This window comes from Homo sapiens, chromosome 9, assembly GCF_000001405.40.
Source record: "Homo sapiens chromosome 9, GRCh38.p14 Primary Assembly".
NCBI classification, from domain to species: domain Eukaryota; kingdom Metazoa; phylum Chordata; class Mammalia; order Primates; family Hominidae; genus Homo; species Homo sapiens.
The window spans coordinates 37829375-37850839 of record NC_000009.12 but is presented as its reverse complement, the minus strand read 5'-3'; the positions used below and the strand labels follow the sequence as shown (position 1 = coordinate 37850839).

General features: G+C 38.1%; 1 protein-coding gene and 1 pseudogene across 8 annotated transcripts in view; one reads left to right on the top strand and one right to left on the bottom strand.

The window, feature by feature from the left end:
- The window catches only part of DCAF10 (DDB1 and CUL4 associated factor 10), a 67111-nt gene that overhangs the window by 16825 nt on the left and 28821 nt on the right, over positions 1-21465 (bottom strand). For 5 of the 8 annotated variants that reach the window (NM_001286810.2, XM_047423865.1, NM_024345.5 and 2 more), the window contains exon 3: positions 8554-8751. The exons of the other annotated variants lie outside the window; for them this stretch is intronic. In NM_001286810.2, the coding sequence (NP_001273739.1) occupies positions 8554-8751 (198 nt within the window). The remainder of the gene's footprint in view (positions 1-8553; positions 8752-21465) is intronic. 8 annotated transcript variants of the gene reach the window in all.
- MRPS10P5 (mitochondrial ribosomal protein S10 pseudogene 5) lies at positions 14251-14800 on the top strand (annotated as a pseudogene).

The window sequence follows — 21465 nt, the reverse complement described above, 5'->3', positions numbered from 1 at the left end:
ATATATATATATAAAATATATCCTCACATACTTAGCATTTATGATGATAAAACTTAAAATCTACTTTTAACAAATTTCAATTATATATAATAACAACAGTAAATTGTCATTAACAGTGGTCATCATGTTGTACCTTATAAATCTCTTGAACTTTTATTCCTCCTAACTGAAATGTTGTATTTTTTGACCAAAGTTTCCCCCAACTGTACTCCACCCACCTGTCCCCAGTCCCTGGTAACCACCATTCTACTATCTGCTTCTATGAGTTTTTGACTTTTTTAGATTCTACATGTAAGTGATATTTGTCTTTCTGAGCCTGGCTTATTTTGTTTAATATAATGTCCTCCAGGCTCATTCGTATTGTCGCAAATGACAAAATTTCCTTCTTTCTTAAGGCTGAATAGTATTTTGCTGTGTATATTACAACATTTTTAATCCATTCATTCATTGATGGACGTTTAGGTTAACTCCATATCGTGGCTACTGTGAATAGTGCTGCAATGAACATGAGAGTGCAGATATCTTTTTGACATAGTGATTTAATTTCCTTTGGATATATACCTAGTAGAAGGATTGTTGGATTTATATGGTAGTTCTATTTTTAAGTTTTTGAGGAACCTCCCTACTGTCTTCCATAATTTATATCTAATGACCTTTGTTAAATCTTACTAATTCTGATAATTTCTCTGAGGAATTTGTAAGATTTTCTATATAGAACAGGGAGTAGAAAACTTTGGCCTATGGGCCAAATTTGGCCCACTTTTATCTATTTTATGTTTTAAAGACAGGGTGTCAATCTCTTGCCCAGCCTAGAGTGCAGTGGTGCAATCATGGCTCACTGAAACCTTGAACTCCTGGGCTCAAGGGGTCCTCCTGTCTCGCCCTCTTGAGTACCTGGGACTACAGGCACACACGGCCACACCTGGCTAATGTTTTAAATTTTTTGTTGTTGTTGTTGTTGAGATGGAGTCTTGCACTGTTGCCCAGGCTGGAATGCAGTGGTGCGATCTCGGCTCACTGCAACCTCCGCCTCCCAGGTTCAAGCGATTCTCCTTCCTCAGCCTCCTGAGTAGCTGGGATTACAGGCACCTGCCACACCTGGCTAATTTTTTTGTATTTTTAGTAGACACGGGGTTTCACTATATTGGTCAGGCTGGTCTCGAACTCCTGACCTCATGATCTGCCCACCTCAACCTCCCAAAGTGCTGGGATTACAGGTATGAGCCACCGTGCCTGGCCATGTTTTAAAATTTTTTTAGAGATGAGGTCTCACTATGTTGCCCAGGTTTGTCTCAAACTCCTGGGCTCACACAGTCCTCCCACCTTGGCCTCCCAAAGTGATGGGATTATAGGCATGAGCCACGGTGCCTGACCACTGCCTGGTTCTATAAAGAAAGTTTGTATAAACACAGCCACATCTATTCATTTATGTATCATCTATGACAGCTCAGAGACCATGTAGTACACAAAGCCTAAAATATGTACTACCTGGTCCTTTACAGAAATAGTTTGCCAACGCCTGATATATCATCTGTGAATAATAGTGTTTTCTTCTTTCCAATCCATATATAATTGTTTTCTTCCTTCTTTTATTGCACCAACTAGTACCCTCCCCCGCTTCACCCACCCCATGACACTGATGAACAGTAGTGGTAACAGTGAGCAAGCTCTCCTTCCAGATTTTAAGGAGAAATCTTCTTAAGGTTCACCATTTTAAAATGTGCTATAATTTTTTAGTATATACTTTTGATAAATTTCCTTCTATCTCTAGTTAATTAATGATTCAGGAGTTTCATTGAGGTATAACTTACATGCCATAAAACTCACTCATTTTAGGTGTAAATTAAGTTTTTTTTTTTTTTTTTTTGAGACAGAGTCTCGCTGTGTCGCCCAGGCTGGAGAGCAGTGGCGTGATCTTGACTCACTGGAACCTCCACCTCCTGGACTCAAGCAATTCTCCTGCCTCAGCCTCCTGAGTAGCTGGGATTACAGGTGCCCACCACCACGCCCTGCTAATTTTTGCATTTTTAGTAGAGACGGGATTTCACCATGTTGGCCAGGCTGGTCTCAAACTCCTGACCTCAGGTGATCCACCCTCCCTCGGCCTCCCAAAGTGCTGGGATTACAGGTGTGAGCCACCATGCCAGGCCGCAATTAAGTAATTTTTTAGTAAATTTACAGAGCTGTGCAATCATCAACACAATCCAGTTTTAGAACATTTTCATCACCTTAAGAGATTCCTCCTGCCCATTAGCAATCACTTTCTGTTCCCACTCTCAGCTCCAGGCAACCACTAATCAACTTTCTGTCTCTATAGATTTACCTATTCTAGATATTTCATATAAATAGAATCGTACAGTAAGTAGTCTTTTGCAAGTTGGCTTTTTTCACCCAGCATAATTTTTTGAGGTTCATCCATGTCATAGCATGTATCAATTATTTGTTCGTTTTCATTGCTAAATAGAATTCTGTTGCATACATCCACCACATTTTGTTTATCTATTTACCACTTGCTGGATATTTGGATTGGTTCCATTTTTGCTTATTATGAGTGCTACTATAAATATTCATGTACAAGTCTTTGTGTGGCCATATATGTTCATTTCTCTTGAATAGATATCTAGGAGTGGAATTGGTGGATCATATGGTAACTCCATGTTTAACATTTTATGAAACTGCCAAATTGTTTTCTAAAGTGGCTATTCCATTTTACATTCCCACCAGCAATGTGGGTTTCAGCAATCAGGGTTCCAGTTTCTCCATATTCTTGCCAATACTTGTTATTAATTAATAATATGGAGTCTTCGAATCCATGAACATGGACTATCTCCCCATTTATTTACAACTTCTTATATTCCCTTTAGCAATGTTTTATAGATTTCAGTGTACAAATCTCATACCTCTTTTGTTAATTTTATTCCTATGTATTTTACCCTTTTTGATGCTATTGTGAATTAAATTATTTTCTTCATTCATTTTTGGATTGTTCATTGCTTATAAGTAGAAATACAATTGATTGTATATCTTGTGAATTTACTAAACTTGTTTATTAGGTCTAGTGGATTTCTTGGTAGGTTCCTTACTATTTTCTGTATACAGAAACATATTTCCTGCATATGAAGACAGTTTACGTCTTCCTTTCTATTCTGAATGCCTTTTCTTTTTTTTACCTGATTGCACCTCCAGTGCAATGTTGCACCTCCAGTATAATTTCAAAAAAAAGTGGTGAGAGCCTTGCTTCCCATCTTAGGGGGAATGCATTCAGTCTTTCAATGTTAAGCAAGATTCTTAGCTTTTGAATACATTCCCTTTTATGCCTAGTTTTATCACAAAGAGATTTTGTCAAGTGCTTTTCTGTCTTGATTATCATATGGGTTTTGACCTTTATTAGTATAATGTATTACATTAACTGATTTTGGGAGTTAAACCAACCCTGTATTCCTGGGATAAATTCCACTTGGTGATGACATAAAAATGTTTATATATATTGTTAGATTTGCTAATATTTTGTTGAGGATTTTTCCATCCTTTTTTTTTTTAGGAATATTTGTGGTTTCTATTCTTTTTTTTTTTTTTTTTTTTTTTTGAGATGGAGTTTCACTCTTGTGCCCCAGGCTGGGGTGCAATGGTGTGATCTTGGCTCACTGCAACTTCCACCTTCTGGGTTCACATGATTCTCCTGCCTCAGCCTCCTGAGTAGCTGAGATTACAGGCATGCACCACCACACCCAGCTAATTTTGTATTTTTAGTAGAGGTGGGGTTTCACCATGTTGGCCAGGCTGGTCTTGAACTCCTGACCTCAAGTGATCCACCCGCCTTGGCCTCTCAAAATGCTAGGATTACAGGCATGAGCCACCACACCCAGCCCTGTAGTTTCTATTCTTATGGTGTCTGTCTGGTTTTGGTATCAGGATAATAGTAGACTCAAAGCATGAGTTGGAAAATATCCTGTCTCCTCTATATTCTGGAAGAGTTTGTGAAGGACTGTTATTATTTACTATGTAAATATTTGGTAGAATTAATCAGTGAAGCCATTTGATTCTGGGCTTTTCACTGTGGGAGTATTTTTAAATTACCAATTCAGGCCAGTCACAGTGGCTAACACCTGTAATCCCAGCACTTTGGGAGGCCGAGGTGGGCAGATCACTGAGGTCAGGAGTTTGAGACCAGCCTGACCAACATGGTGAAACCCTGTCTCTACTAAGAATACAAAAATTAGCCAGGGGTGGTGGTGGATGCCTGTAATCCCAGCTACTTAGGAGGCTGAGGCAGGAGGATCACTTGAACCTGGGAAGCAGAGGTTGCAATGACTCCATCTTAAAAAAAAAATTACCAATTCAATATCTTTACTTGCTGTAGGTCTATAAGTCAATAGATTTTCTATTTATCTTAAGTCAATTTCAGTAATTTGTGACTCCTTAGGTGTCTATCTGTTCATCTGTGTTGCCTAATTTGTTGCCATAAAGTTGCTCATAGTACTCCTTATTAATCCTTTTAATTTCTGTAAGGTTGGTTATGATATCTCCTCTCTTTTGTTTTTAATTATGACTAAATGTTGAATCTTATTCCTCATTTGAAACAATCATACAGATTTACCCATTTTATCTGTTAATGTGGGTAATTATATTAATACAATTTCTATTGATAAACCATCTTTTCATTCCTTGAGTAAGCCCAACTTGGTCATGATATTTACTATAATGTAGGGTTCAATTTCTTTGCATTTAGAATATTTGTATTTACATTCATATTACAGATTGGTCTTTCTTTTTTTTTAATATTATCTTTGTTAAGTTCGGGTATCAAGGTCATACTAATTTTATACATGATGTAAGAATTCCCTTTTTCAATAATCTGATCAGTTTAATAAAATTAGAATGTTCTCTCTTATTTGCAATATTTGGTAGAAGTCACCTGTAAAACTGACAGACCTGCTCTTTTATTAGTACTGTAGGTAGTTTTTAACTCATTTTTTCCATTTCTTTAATGGCTGTGGCAGAGGTGATATTCAGAATATTTAAATAACAAGCACCGCATGAACACTTGCCAGTCAGAATAGATGCAGATGGCTGTGCTGGAACAGGGTCCTGGAATCGCCATATTGTGTAAGGGGGACTTTTGCTGCTGAATCATGGGAAGGTTTTGTGGGAGGTATCTCTAGAAGAGGGGCCTGGGTAGTCAGAGGGTGTCAGAGGGTAACTCAGGGCAGTGCCTATTTACGAATTGGTATGGAAGAAGTTCAATCTTTTAACAGTACTTCAGCTGAACCAGTACATATTGGCTAAATATTAGTCCTAGTAATAGGTCTATTTCAGGTTTTCTATTTCTTCCTTGGCCAGTTTTGCTAAGGTGTATTTTTTTAGTAAACTGGCTATTTCATCAAAGTTTTCAAGTATATAGGGATAAAGCTCATCTATCATCTTCTTCTATATTGTTGTCTCCTTTTTATTGCTGATATTAGTTATTTATGTCTTTTTTCTCTTGATGAATCTTGCCAGAGAATTGCCTATTCAATTAGCTTTTTTCAAAGAGCAGGCTTTTAAAAATCCTCTATTATATTTTCATTTTTGACATCATCAATTTTATGCTTTTACACTTATCATTTCCATACATCTACTTTCATCGGGTTTATCCTTTTACTTTTTTCCAGTTTTTTGAGTAAGATGCTTAGTTCATCAATTTTCAACCTGTCTTCAGTATGATTTCTTCTTTGATCCATAAATTATTTAAAAGTGAGTTTATAAGTCTCTAAACATGAGAATTTTTAATTAATAACTAAATGATACTAAGAACAGGGAAAATGGTTTGTGTGATAATAGTTCTTTGGTACCAGCTGAAACCTACTTTGTAGTTCAGTACATGCTCAATTTTTGTACTGGTTCTAAGTTTGCTTCAGAGGATGTTTTCACTAGTTGTTGGTAGCAGAAATCTAAATATGTGTAATACATCAAGCTTATTAATAATATTTAAATCTTCCACAGCCTTATCCATTTTTGTTTGTTGTTGTTGTTATTTTTCTTTTTTGAGACAGAATCTCACTCTGTCACCCAGGCTGGCCCACTGCCACCTCTGCCTCCCAGGTTCAAGCGATTCTCCTGCCTCAGTAGCTGGGATTACAGGCGTGTGCCACTAGGCCCTGCTAATTTTTGTGTTTTATTTATTTTTGTTGTTGCTGTTGTTATTGTTTTGAGACAGAGTCTGACTCTGTGGCCCAGGCTGGAGTACAGTGGCACAACCTCGGCTCACGGCAACCTCTACCTCCTGGGTTCAAGTGATTCTCCTGCCTCAGCCTCCCAAGTAGCTGGGATTACAGGTGCCAGCCACCACGCCTGGCTAATTTTTGTATTTTTAGTAGAGATGGGGTTTCTGCGTGCTGGCCAGGCTGGTCTCAAACTCCTGACCTCAGGTGATCCACCCACCTCGGCCTTCCGAAGTGCTGGGATTACAGGTGTGAGCCACCACACGTGGCCTAATTTTTGTATTTTTAGTAGAGATGGAGTTTCACCATGTTGGCCAGGCTGGTCTCCTGACCGCAAGTGATCTGCCCACCTCAGCCTCCCAAAGTGCTGGGATTACAGGCGTGAGCCACCATGCCCGGCCCATTTTTGTCTATCTTATCTAGATAAGTAAATGAGAGAATGCTGTTAATATTTTCCACTGAGATGGAGATTTCTCACTTCTTTCTTGTAATTCTGTCCACTTTTACTTTTTATAGTTTTATGCTATGTTTTTAGGCGCATACAAGCTTTTATATTTTAGTGAAATTAATCTTTTGTTATAGTACCTTTTTATCAGTAATGCTTTTTGTCTTAAACTTTATTTTGTTTGCTATTAATGTAGCCACAACTGTTTTGTCTTTGACGTATAATTGTTTGTTTTTTCTCATCCTTTTACTTTCAACTTTTCTAGGTTTGTATGTTTTAACTGTGTCCCTTACAAAGAAAATACAGTTCTGTTTTATTTTTAATCTAATCTAACACTGTCTATTTTTAACTGGACAGTTTAGCCCATATACGTTTATCACAGTTATTAATATTTGGATTAAAGCTTAGGTTATCTGCCTACTAGTTTTATGCTTTGTGAAATAACAAAAAATATTTTTCCTGAAATTAAGGAAATTTATTTTGTAAGCTAGTTTTCATCATGAACTATACAACTTGGTCTCCTTCCTGTATAATTTTCTCCAACTTTTTAGTTGCAGTATATGACTAGTTTTGTGCTTCCTAATTTACCTGTTCTTTTAAATAATTATCTTTTTTCCTTCCCTTCTCTGCTTCTATGGGATTGATCATGTTTTATTAGTTTTTTACCCTCTACTAATTTGGAAGTTACATTTATATTTCTATTCAAATTTTATTTCTAAATTTTAGTAAACAAATTCATTTAGTAGGTATGCTTGTCTTTGTCTAAAGATAACCAATAGTTTTTGCCTTCCACTCAAAGAGTATGGGTAGCTAGAAATCTCCAAGAATAGCCCCTCTCTTTTTACATATGACCTCTAAAAAGAATATTTCGAAAATGATGGCCACACACAGTGGCTCATGCCTGTAATCCTTGTATTTTGGGAGCTAAGGCAGGAGGATCACTTGAGCCCAGGAGTTCAAGACCAGCCTGGGCAGCATAGCGAGACCCCGTCTCTACAAAAAATAAAAAATTAGGTGGGCATGGTGGCTCATGCCTATAGTCCTAGCTGCTCAGGAGTCTGAGGCAGGAGGATCACTTAAGCCTGGGAGATCCAGTCTGCAGTGAGCTGTGACTGTACCACTGCACTACAGCCTGGGTGACAATGCGAGACCCTGTCTCAAAAACAACAACAAAAACAAATATACACAGAAATGATCATGGTGTGTTTACTATATTATCATTTCACCATAGCTAGCAAAGCAGGCATATTTTAATTGTTTTTCAAACTTCAACTCTTTAAATATCAATTTCTTTATAAGGAGACATTTTGTTGGAATGTTGCACAACAGAGGCATAACTGGCATTTTAGGTGGGACAACTAGTCCACTGTGCACACTGACCTGTGTACTGCAGGAGGTTTAGAAACTCTGGTCCTTGCTGACTACATGCTAGTAGATAGTTCTCTTCCCCCATAGTGACAACCAAAATTGCCCCACGCTTTATTCCTAAACATTCCCTTTGAGATCAGTACCATTCCAAATGAGAACTACTCTTTTAATGCATGAAAACAAAGAACAAAAATTGCAAAATAAATATATGTAGAATTGAGGGAAGAAAAAGTGAGAAACAGTTTAGTTTCACAGGAGAAATAACAAAAATATTTTTCCTTAAATTCAGGAAACTCTTTTTTTATAAGCCAGTTTTCATCATTAACTATACTACTTGGTCTCCTTCCTGTATAATTTTCCCCAAAATTTTTAGTTGCAATATATGACTAGGTACAATTAACAAAATATATCATCACTTTTTGGTTGCTTTTCCTAAAGCCAGTTTCCTTCTTGAGGCTAGGACAGAACACTGAATTTGTTCACCATCTTTAAAAAAAATGTTTTTGTTCATAATCCTAACATGGTCTCCTATTCACAAACCTGTTAGTGTCCCAAATAATGACATTTCCATCAAATCCTGATGTTACTAAGAGTCTTGTATTAGTATCATATTCGATGTTCTTCACCCAGCTAGTGTGACCATGTAAAGTGCATACTTTGGTGTTCAATTTTCTCAGATCCCATAGTGCTATTGTAGTGTCATCAGAGCAGGTAGCAAACAGCCGGTTATCAAGAAATCTATAAAAGCAGAAAAACAAAACCCTGGTTCATTTAATCTCTTTTTAAAGGAAAATTGATTTGAGAAACAGTCACTATATTACCTAGTCAAGAAAGAAAGAAAAAAAGGACTACACACTCACTATGTAAACCCAATGACTGATATACTATAAAAAGTATACTTTGCATAATCACAGAGCCAGGATACTATGATTTAATGACAGTCATATTGCAATTGGATCCATTTGCTTTAAATTACTGATTTTTATTTGAAATTGGAAATAGGGGTAAGTGTTTGGAAAACAGTGACAGAAGGGAAAAAAAGAACTTCAGAATCTCTATAGGAAACAAAAATGATGAGAGAGAATTTAATAGGCGATAGAGGAAGTTTTGAAGACTTGATTGCCGAGAGGGACACATTACACATAATCAAAATCATGAGAAATATTTGCTCTGCTACAAGGAACATCTTTTTCTATTTAGAACACAGTTACATACAAAAATTGCTATAAAATTGCCATTATTTTAAATCTTTTAACTGAAAGGTATTTCCCAAATAATCTCTTAGCAACATTTTATTAGGACCAATCAAGAAAATTACAAAATAGGCTTAAAATACTCTATAATTCAGACTTTTTATTATTTTACACTAACTTCTCAATCCTTAGTGAGAATATATTTAATACAAATACTTAAAAAATAAACTACTATTCACACTTGAATTTTTGCTTAATTTAACATTAGGATGCTTTCTGTAATACATGCTGTTATCCTAATCTCTTACAGAAGAAATGAATTCTGGTGCTTCTTCTAAGATAAATTTACATATAATTGTCAGAAATCAACCTCAATATCCACAAACACCATAACGACCTTCCTAAAATTGATCACGGTTTTCAAATACCAGGCGTTTACACAGGTTGTTTCTGCTAGGTGAAACAACCTTCCTCCTGCCCCTGGATCTGGCTAATTCTTGCTTTCTTTTTAATACCATCATGTGTCACTTAATGATGGAATACATTCTGAGAAATGTGTCCTTAGGTGATTTTGTTGTTGTGTGAACATCATAGAATGAACTTACACAAACCTAGATGGTACACACTGAGGTTATATGGTATATATGGTATATAGCCTATCACTCATAGGCTACAAATGTGCACAGCATGTTACCATACTAAATACTGTAGGCAACTGTAACACAATCGTAAGTATTTGTATATTGAAAGATAGAAAAAATACAGTAAAAGTACTGTATAAAAGATTTAAAATGTTACGCCTGTATAGGGCACTTACCATGAATGGAGCTTGCAGGCGTGGGAGTTGCTCTGGGTGAGTCAGTGAGTGAGGGGTGAGTCAGTGTGAAGGCCTAGGGCATTACTGTCCATTACTGTAGACATTATAAAGACTGTACACTTAGGCTACACTAAATTAATTTAAAAATTTTTCATCAGTAATAAATTAACCTTCGATTACTATAACTTTTTTTACTTCATGAATTTTTAATTTTTTAAACTTTTGACTCTTTTGTAATAACAGCTTAAACACAAACACATTGTACAACTGTACAAAAATATTTTCTTTCTTTATAGCCTTATTTTATTAACTTTTTTCTATTAAAATGTTTACTTTTTAAACTTTTTTGTTAAAAACAAAGACACACATTAGCCTAGTTCTACACAGGGTAAAAATCATCAATATCACTGTCTTCCATCTCCACATCTTGCCCCACTGGAAGGCCTCCAGGGGCAATAACAGGAACAGAGCTGTCATCTCCTGATAACAATGGCTTCTCCTGGAATACCTCCTGAAGAACCTCCCTGAGGCTGTTTTACAGTTTAATTTTTTTTTAAGTAGGAGTACATTCTAAAATAACAATAATAAGTATAACATAGTAAGTATTAGGCAATAGGAATTTTTCAGCTCCATTATAATCTTCTGGAACCACTGTTGTATATGGTGTCACTCACTGAAATGTTGTTATGTGGCATATAACTGTATTCAGCTGTTATGCCCTCCAGGAAGCCTTCCTTGTTTAACCAGCCTGGTAGACCTACCAATTCTCTGAGCTCCCAAAGCATTCTGGGAGCTTCTATCATAATACTTAATATTATACTGTAAGGAACAACTTTACTGTAAACTCCCTGAAGACAGAAGGAACCTGTCTGCCTAGGGTCATGGTTAGATCTGCAGTATACAATACACATGGTGCCAGACACATATGCACTCAACAAATACTTACAAAATAAATGAAAGAGAAGTTCACTGCCTAGCAGAAAAGACACTGTAAGTACATAATTACACGAAATAATTGTGTGGAATAAGCAAAGAGGGTGGCTGGGAAAGACTTCATGATGTTATCATTTGAACTGAATAAAAGATGAGCAGGAACTCCCTAAGTGGTCAGGGTTACTAAGCAAAGATACACAGGCATGTGAGCGGATGGTGCCCTCTGAGAAGCAGCAGTTAGGAGTGCTGTGTGTGGGAAAGTAGAGATGACTAGGGAATACATTATGGATTTATTCTATGGTGATTACCAGTAACTATTTTTTAATTATAAAAATACATTTCCTGGCCAAGCGTGGTAGCTCATACCTATAATCCCAACATTTTGGAAGGCCAAGATGGATGGATCACTTGAGCTCAGGAGTTTGAGACCAGCCTGGGCAACATGACGAAACCCCATCTCTTATTTTAAAAATAACGATAACAAAAAACATTTCTACTGAAAATATTTTTAATGAAAAAAAATCGGCTGGGCGCAGTGGCTCACGCCTGTAATCCCAGCACTTTGAGAGGCTGAGGCGGGTGGATCACAAGGTCAGGAGTTCAAGACCAGCCTGGCCGAGATGGTGAAACCCTGTCTCTACTAAAAATACAAAAAAAATTAGCTGGGCATGGTGGCGGGCGCCTGTAATCCCAGCTACTCGGAGGCTGAGGCAGAGGCAGAGAATTGCTTGAACCCGGGAGGCGGATGTTGCAGTGAGCTGAGATCGTGCCACTGCACTCCAGCTGGGGCACAGAGCAAGATTCCGTCTCAAAAAAAAGAAAAAGAAAAAAAAAATCCATCACCAAAAATAACCACTTTATTGATGTTTAGCTTAATTTCTGTTTTAAACCTAATATTATCTCAAAAACATATTGCCATTATTAAAGGTTTATTAACAAAATCATGTTTAATGGCTGAATAGTGTTCACTGTATGAAGAACTGAAACCTTTTTTCTTTTTAATTTTTTTTTTTTTGGAGACAGAGTCACGCTTTATCCCCCAGGTGCTCACTGCAACCTCTACCTCCTACATTCAAGTGATTCTCATGCCTCAGCCTCCAGAGTAGCTGGGATTACAGGTGCCCGCTGCGATGCCCAGCTAATTTTTGTATTTTTAGTAGAGACAGGTTTTGTCAGGTTGGCCAGGCTGGTCACAAACTCCTGACCCTCAGGTGATCTGCCTGCCTCGGCCTCCCAAAGTGCTGGGATTACAGGAGTGAGCCACTGTGCCCGGCTTCTTTTTAAAATGAATATGCAATTTTTGGGTGTTTGGATTGCTTACAATTTTTTACTACTAAAAAACACTAAGATGAGCATACTTACAGCCAAATATTAATCACATCCCTATGTATTTCTCTAAGTATATTTCCAGAAAAACATATTGCTAAGTAAAATGAGATTTTTTTAATGTAAGTTTTTTTTAATGTAGCCAAATTGTTCTCCAAAAAATCATACCAATATGGAGTTGCATCAGCAGTTAGGAGAGTGTCCATTTTCCCAAATCCTTGCCACATAGGTCTTTAAAAAAACTTTCTCCTAAGTGCTAGGAAAAAAATCATCTTGTTTTAAGTTGAAACTTTTATGTTTAGTAAAGTTGAAACTTTTTCACATTTATTAGAAAAATATATTTCTTTGCTGTTCATGTTCCTTGCTGATTTTACAACTGCAGTATTATTTTAATTACTGAGTTGTAAAAAAAATCTTTAAAGATAATATATCCGTTTTTCAAACACTGTGCATTGCATATATTTTCCACATATTTCTATCTTTTATATGGTTTATGTTTTCTTCCCATATCAAAATTTTAATTTTTTTTTTTCTTGAGACAGGGTCTTGCTCTGTTGCCTGGGCTGGAGTGCAGTGATGATTATGGCTCACTGCAGCCTTGACCTCCCAGGCTCAAGCAACCCTCCTTGTCTCAGCCTCCTGAGTAGCTGGGACTATGGGCACATGCCACCATGCCCAGCTAATCAAAATTTTAATTCTTTTTTTTTTTTTTGACACACAAGCAGTATGTATTCAACACACTGATACCTGATAGCATGTCAGGAAAAGAGAACAGGCAATGCAGTTTAAGGGGGGAAAAACTGAGAAGTCATAACTACTCCAAAGATGTGAAGGAAACCACAAAAGACATGGACCTGCTTCTACTATAAAAAGAAAATGAAGCACTTCTCTGGGGTTGCTATACCAACTGTTTCAGCCCATTGTAGTCTTGCCTCTTTCAGGGCTTTAGCCACTATTTCATTTCATGGAAAAGCAGACATCTCCTAACAAACAGAGTGACATTTACCAAAAGAAAGAGGGCTTATCAATGAGAAGCTTAGTAAAGAAAAATATTTACCTATGCTTTGCACAATTTTCTTTTCTTTTTTTTTTTTTTTTTTGAGATGGAGTCTCGCTCTGTTGCCAGGCTGGAGTGCAGTGGCGCGATCTCATCTTACTGCACCCTCCATCTCCCAGGTTCAAGGGATTCTCCTGCCTCGGCCTCCTGAGTAGCTGGGATTACAGGCACGTGCCACCACGTTCAGCTAATTTTTGTATTTTTAGTAGAGACGGGGTTTCACCGTGTTAGCCAGGATGGTCTCCATCTCCTGACCTCGTGATCCGCCTGCCTCGGCCTCCCAAAGTGCTGGGATTACAGGTGTGAGCCACCGTGCCCGGCCTGCTTTGCGCAATTTTCAAAAGCCATTATTTCTATGCAATTTTGGGTACTTACTACAGTGCTGGATGCAAAGTTTATGCAGTAAAAGCTTATTGAATGAATGAATCACAGGATAAATAATACAACTAGTAATTTCTTAAGATCATAAATTCCATTACAGTAACCCTGGTAGGCAACTCTATAAAGTTCTGGGCTCCAAGAAGAGGTCAGTGCATGCCATAAATGTGTTTGATCTACTGTGAAGTATATTCACAGTCTTCAAAATGTAACGCTTAAATGAGATAAAATTGGTTGGTTACCACCCCCAAATTAGCATATGCCAGCCTGCACAAAGGTAAATAGCAAAAACTTTAACTGCTCAATCTGAATTAACCAAAGATTCCTTCTAGGAATCTTAAAAAAAAAAAGTAAGGGTGTGAACACTTCAAGCACTTATTTTCAGATGCATCAACTGACATAAATTAAAAATGGTACAAACTAATAATTGAACACCAGTAGCATAACAAAATAGAATTTTCACTCTTTCCGCTTTGAGTCAAAGTGGTTTGCTCATGTTTGTTGAAATCAGAACTGAAACAATGACATGTACAAAAAAGAGTAGATAAAAGTGGTTCTTGCATTAAAGTTCCATTCCCTGCTCTCAGCTGATGAGGGCACGAGAACTCAATAGAGCAGTTAGGGCAGACTCAAATCATCTCAGCTGGAAGCACTCTCCACTTAAACATACTCATCTGGCCCACCCTCATTTCAAATTCAGGCAAAAATGGCCTCCCTGAGGCTTTAAGACTTGCTTTCTTCTTTTTCTTCTGATAGTGTTTCCCAGATTGGCTCCTTGATGTGTTCTGGTAACTGTTCTAATTGTGTCTTTGTTACTTCCATGGCAACCCTTTCAGGTAAGTTTCGCTGAATATATTCCACGTAGACATCTGCTGTGCTTCCAGTTAGATGTTCTAACTCTAAACATCTGTAAAGTGTTCTCATTTCATACTGAACTCCGTGCTTCTTATAAATATGCACTGATATGAGAAGAGTAAATCGCTCTATTTTCCTTGGAGGTTCGTGTACTTTAATAGAGATACCAAGTTCTTTAGCATCAAGCACAGCAAAATATTCATAACTGTCCAATACAGCCTTACCGTGGCGGCGCGGACGGCGTTTGGGGCCGTGTGCCGGCGCCTCTGGCAGGGATTGGGGAATTTTTCTGTAAACAGTTCTAAGGGCAATATAGCCAAAAATGGTGGCTTTCTTCTCAGTACCAATATGAAGTGGGTACAGTTTTCAAACCTACACGTTGATGTTCCAAAGGATTTCACCAAACCTGTGATAACAATCTCTGATGAACCAGACACATTATATAAAATTTTAATTCTTATATTGTCAAGTCCATCTTTCCCTTATAGATTTACCTTTACTGATAATGTTTTTTGTTGTTGTTGTTTTGAGACTGAGTTTCACTCTTGTTGCCCAGGCTGGAGTGCAATGGCGTGACTCTCAGCTCTCTGCAACCTCCGCCTCCCGGGTTCAAGCGATTCTCCTGCTTGAGCCTCCTAAGTAGCTGGGATTACAGGTGCCCGCCACCACGCCCAGGTAACTTTTTTTTTTTGGACGGAGTCTCACTCTGTCTCCCAGGCTGGAGTGCAGTGGCGCGATCTCGGCTCACTGCAACTCCACCTTCCGGGCTCAAGTCATTCTCCTGCCTCAGCCTCCTGAGTAGCTGGGATTACAGGCGCCCACCATCACACCCGGTTAATTTTTGTATTTTCAGTAGAGACAGGGTTTCACCATTTTGGCCAGGCTGGTCTCAAACTCCTGGCATCAAATGATCTGCCTGCCTTGGCCTCCCAAAGTGCTGGGATTACAAGCGTGAGCCACCACACCCGGCCCCAGCTAATTTTTTTTACATTTTTAGTAGAGACAGGGTTTCAACATGTTGGCCAAGTGGGTTTTGAACTCCTGACCTCAACTGATCTGCCCACTTCGACCTCCCAAAGTGCTAGGATTACAGGTATGAGCCACTGCGCCCGGCCCTGATGATGCTTTCTAAAGTAAAACTAGTTCAATGACTTCCATATTTGACAGAAATTATGTGACTGAGACTGAGCACAGTGGCTCACACCCATAATCCCAGCACTATGGGAGGCCGAGGCCAGCTGATCTCTTGAATTCAGGAGTTTGAGACCAGCCTGGGCAACATGATGAGACCTCGTCTCTATGAAAAATACCAAAATTAGCCAGGTGTGGCACGAGCCTGTAGTCCCAGCTACTCAGGAGGCTGAGGCAAGAGAATCTCTTGAGCCAGGGAGGCGGAGGTTGCAGTGAGTCGAGATAGCACCACTGCACTCCAGCCTGGGCGACATGAGTGAAACCCTGTCTCAAAAAAAAAAAGTACGTGATTGAGAAAAATACGTACAAAAAATATTTTCTAAAAAGCTACTGGAAAGTTAAAGTTTTAAAATAAATTGAGCATATTCATACATTTGAAAAGTTTTTAAAAAATAACAAAGATATTTTATTCGGTCTACAGAAAATACTTAATGCACAGATGGATTTAAAACCCCAGTGGGGTTATATTGCTGTAGGCCACAGTGGTCTGAGAGTTTTAAGGAAGAGAGATTATTAGAATGAGAGTTTCAGAAAGATCTCTGAACTGGCTAGGTTTCCAGACTGTTGGACTTTCATAAAAAATAGGGGGATTAGCTTTTTAATTTTTCTTAATAAGGTCATTTAAAAAACTATAATTGTTGCATGAAAGGATATTTTAATACCAAAAATATAGAAAAATATAAAGTTGGAATAAAAGCTAATAGTTTTGAATTGAATAAGTTTAATGAGAAATTCAATACTTTGACTTTAATTGGCTCATTTTTGCCTCAAAATATTACTTATTAAAAACTTTGATATTGGAAGTTGCTGTTTAGTAAAACATAAATTTAAAAAAAGATGGCTGGGCACAGTGTCTCACTCCCGTAATTCCAGTACTTTGGGAGGTCAACAAGGGCGGATCACCAGAGCTCAAGTTTGAGACCAGCCTGGGCAACATGATGTAACCCCATCTCTACTAAAAATATGAAAATTAGCCAGGTGTGGTGACGCCTGCCTGTAATATCAGCTACTCGGGAGGCTGACGCAGGAGAATCGCTTGAGCTGGCGGGGCGGAGGCTGCAGTGAGCCGAGATCGCACCACTGCACTCCAGCCTAGGCGGCAAAGCAAACAAAAAAAACTTTGGTATTGGAAAATCACTGATAAAGAGAAAAAAATTGTAGAATATTAAGAATGTACACTAGGAGATAAATTAAAGCACCTAGAACAATTTTTATCCCAAAATCAACAGATGCAGAGAATGTAGCGTTAGACAAATCCTTCGATATGTGGGCCTAGTCCTCTCAAAACTCAGTCTAGCTTAATAAGTTAATAATTGTAAAATATTTATAACTCCACAGACCCCAATAAATAAGAGACAACCCTTCAAACACACTGAAATCTGTGTCTCTGAATCACAGAACTTCTCCAAATGTCCCCATCAAACCCCAGCATACATGACTGTAACAGCTATGGGTAAGCTGACATCTGGACAAATTCAAGGTCTTCATTGTCAGATGATATGGTAAAGGATAAAAGAAACTGAAAATGAATTCTATTAAAATGGGTACTAACATTTCATTGTATAAATGAAAGTGTTGTTGAGTCTATATCTTAAAAAAAAATTAAATGAAAACTCATGAAAATAACATTTTCCTATTTAACTACAGACGATCCCCCACTTAAAATTGTTTGACTAACAATTTTTTGACTTTATGATGTTTATCTGGGTATTAAATTTATTTTGACTTCCAATATTTTCAACTGACAATGGGTTTATTGGGAGATAATCCCATCAGAAGTTGAAGAGCATCTGCATATGCAAATTCTCAGAACAAGAATAATTAAATGTTTGGCATTTTTTACTTAATCTTCCCAATGAAATAATGATAGCAGAATATGACATCCTTACTTCATATTTGAATTTGTAGTATAATCAAAAAGAAGGTCATTTCAGCTCACGCCTGTAGTCCCAACACTTTGAGCGAGGTGGATTGCTTGAGGTCAGGAGTTCAAGACCAGCCCCGGCAACATAGAGAAACCCTATCTCTACAAAAGATTAGCCAAGCCTGTAGTCCCAGCTATTGAGAGGCTGAGGCAGGAGAACTGCTTGAGCCCAGGAGGCAGAAGTTGCAGTGAGCAATGATCGTGCCACTGCACACCAGCCTAGTCTAGGTAACAGAGCAAGACCCTGTCAAAAAACAAAAACAAAAACAAAAAATAAAAAACAAAACAAAACCTAAAACAGAGAGTCATTTCTGTATAAATATTCAAGGGCCTCATCAATTTTCCCAAGAGCCTTTTTCCTTAGTCCTGTGAGTTATTCACATAATGCTTTGAGGTGTCTATCATGTCATAATTGATGTCATTTTCTTTAATTGATCACTACTCTTAATTCTATGATATCATTATCTGCCAGTGATTTTATATTACTTGACCAGTTCTCTAACATAATTTTCAGGGTTTTGCAAAATTCTGCATCCTTTGTAAGATAAGAAATTTCGTGTTCCCACTGACACAGCACTACATTTGCATTATATAGTTTGAAATTTAACAATCAGCAGCACGCCAACAAAGACAGTGGGAGGGAGAAATAGATCCTGGGATATATTTAAATGGGTATCAATTTTTTTTTTTTTTTGAGACGGAGTCTCGCTCTTGTTGCCCAGGCTGGCATGCAATGGCGTGATCTCGGCTCACTGCAACCTCCACCTCCTGGGTTCAAGCGATTCTCCTGCCTCAGCCTCCCAAATAGCTGGGATTACAGGCACCCGCCACCATGCCCCACTAATTTTTGTATTTTTAGTAGAGATGGGGTTTCACCTTGTTGGCCAGGATGGTCTTGAACTCCTGACCTCAGGTGGTCCGCCCACCTCGGCGTCCCAAGGTACTGGGATTACAGACATGAGCTACCATGCACAGCCTAAATGGGTACTAATTATTATTATTTTTTTTTAGATGGTTCAAGCGATTCTCCTGCCTCAGCCTCCTGAGTAGCTGGGATTACAGGCACCCGCCACCATGCCCGACTAAATAGGTACTAATTTTTTAAATGTAATATCACTAAGTAAATATTTTTATGATGACCTCCGGGCTTCTCCCTGCAACTTCATAACTGGGGGGACCTAGATCTTTTTTTTGTTTTGTTTTTTGAGACGGAGTCTCGCTCTGTCGCCCAGGCTGGAGTGCAGTGGCACAATCTCGGGTCACTACAGCCTCCGCCTCCCAGGTTCAAGCAATTCTCTGCCTCAGCCTCCCGAGTAGCTGGGATTACAGATGCCGGCCACCACGCCCAGCTAATGATTATTAAAGGAACTCTAAATCCACATACAGATCCCTCAGGAATGAGAAGTAAGCCTGTATAATGGGTGTAAGTATTTAAATTACAGACTTTTCCCACTACTTTCCCAAAATATGAAGTAATAGAAAATATTGTCCGTAACTACCAATGTTTTTTATTTTTTTATTTTACAAGATAATAAGCAAACTACAAAACTAAGAAATGAACTAGAAGACATTACCAAGTATGTACAAAATGACCGTCTAGATTCAAACCAGAAAATGCATGCCCCTGTCTCTGAACAGTACAGTGAGGTGATCTAATGGAACTGAGTATGAATTCCAGCTCCACCACTTACTATATCTAAGAACTTGGGCAAATCTCTTTATTTGAGTTATAGTTTTTTATTCCTTAAATAGCTACAATATCTGTCTCACAGAGGGATACTGTGAGGATTAAGTAATGTATAAAAAGTGCTTCACAGAAGGTTTGGCACATAGAAAGCATTAAAAAATGGAAGTTAGTATTATTAATAAATAAAGCACACTTGAGCTCATGCACCAAAGACTCTTCAGATCTTCACTCAAAACTTTCTTTTTTTTTGAGACAGAGTCTCGCTCTATCGCCCAGGCTGGAGTGCAGTGGCGCGATCTCGGCTCACTGCAACCTCTGCCTCCTGGGTTCAAGCGAGTCTCCTGCCTCCCGAGTAGCTGGGACTGCAGGCGTGTGCCACCACGCCCAGCTAATTTTTGTATTTTTAATAGAGACGGGGTTTCACCATGTTAGCCAGGTTGGTCTGGAACTCCTGACCTCAGGCAATCTGCCCACCTCAGCCTCCCAAAGTGCTGGGATTACAGGCATGAGCCACTGCGCCCAGCCAAAACTCTTAAGTTATGTATACTTCTAAACGAGCTTCAAAATCGATTTCTCTAATCAACAGATCAGAAGAAGCAGATTCAAATTTGTAGGCATGAGTTGCTATGGCAGGCATACTGGCAGCAGCAAATGAAGGCTAACATTGATAAATAATACATTCTAATAGCGGATTAGCCAAAGGTTGTTTTGAGTAAAGGCAAACAACTTGGCACAAGTCTTATCTTTCTAAGAAATTTTTAAATTATAACATATTAGCAACATAGAGAAAACTATGAAAAATATAACAAACATCTGTGATACCACTCAGCTTTATCAATTTTAACATTTTATCTTTCACATATTTTTGAACATTACAAACACAGTTGAAGTGCCTTGTATATCCCTCCCCAGTCCCTTCCCTTCTCTTCCTCCCCAGAGGGAACCACTATCCAAAAGTTGTTGTTATTCCCATGTAAATTTTTAATACCATGAATTCATATGTATGTAACCATAAACACTTTATAGTATTGTTTTGCGTTCAGTTTTTTCTCTGTAAATGTTTAATAAGAACCCACCATATGCTAGGCACAATTCTAGATGCTGGGATAGAGCACAGAACAAATACATGCCCTCACCAAGCTTATGTTTGTAATGTTTTCAAATTTTATGTAAATGGTATCACACTATATAAAGCTCATTCTACATTTTTTTCTTTTCTACCTCAACTTTAAATTTCTGAGATGTGTATCAGATGCTGATGCTTTTAGTTCATTTATCTTAACTGATGTATAGTATTTCATTGTATGAGTACACCAGAATTTATTTATCTATTAATATTTCCTCTTGATAGACATTCGTTTCCAACTTCTCTCTATTACAAACAATGCTATAATGAATCTTCTTCATATACCTCCGTGTCCACATATGCATTAATTTCTTTCTTCTTCTTCTTTATTCTTTAAGAGACAGGGTCTTGCTCTGTCACCCAGACTGGAATGCAGTGGTGCAATCATGGCTCCCTGCAGCCTCAAACTCCTGGGCTCAAGCATTCCTCCTAAGCTTTCTAAGTAGCTGGGACTATAGGCACGTGCAACTACACCTGGCTAATTTTTAAATTGTTTGTAGAGACGGAGTCTCACTGTGTTGCCCAGGCTAGTCTTGAACTCCTGCCCTCCAGTGATTGTCCCACCTCAGCCTCCCAAAATGCTGGGATTACAGGTATGAGCCACCATGCCCAGCCTGCATCAATTATTAAAAAAAAATTAATCTTCAGCTTTACCATATATTGCTCAACTGCTCTTCAAAATAATGTTATAAATTTATACTTCATCAGTAATATCTAAGAGTGCCTATTTCTCAACGTTTCGCTGCCGAGAGAAATAGCAAGTATTTTTCTGCCAATACTTGGTATTTACTGTTATTTTTATTTGTACTTCCATAATAAATGATAAGCTTGAACATCTTTCTGTAGTTATTCTTCATTGTAGTTTTTTGTTTTATTTTATTTTATTTATTAATTTTTTTGACATGGAGTCTTGCTCTTGTTGCCCAGGCTGGAATGCAATGGCACAATCTTGGCTCACCGCAACC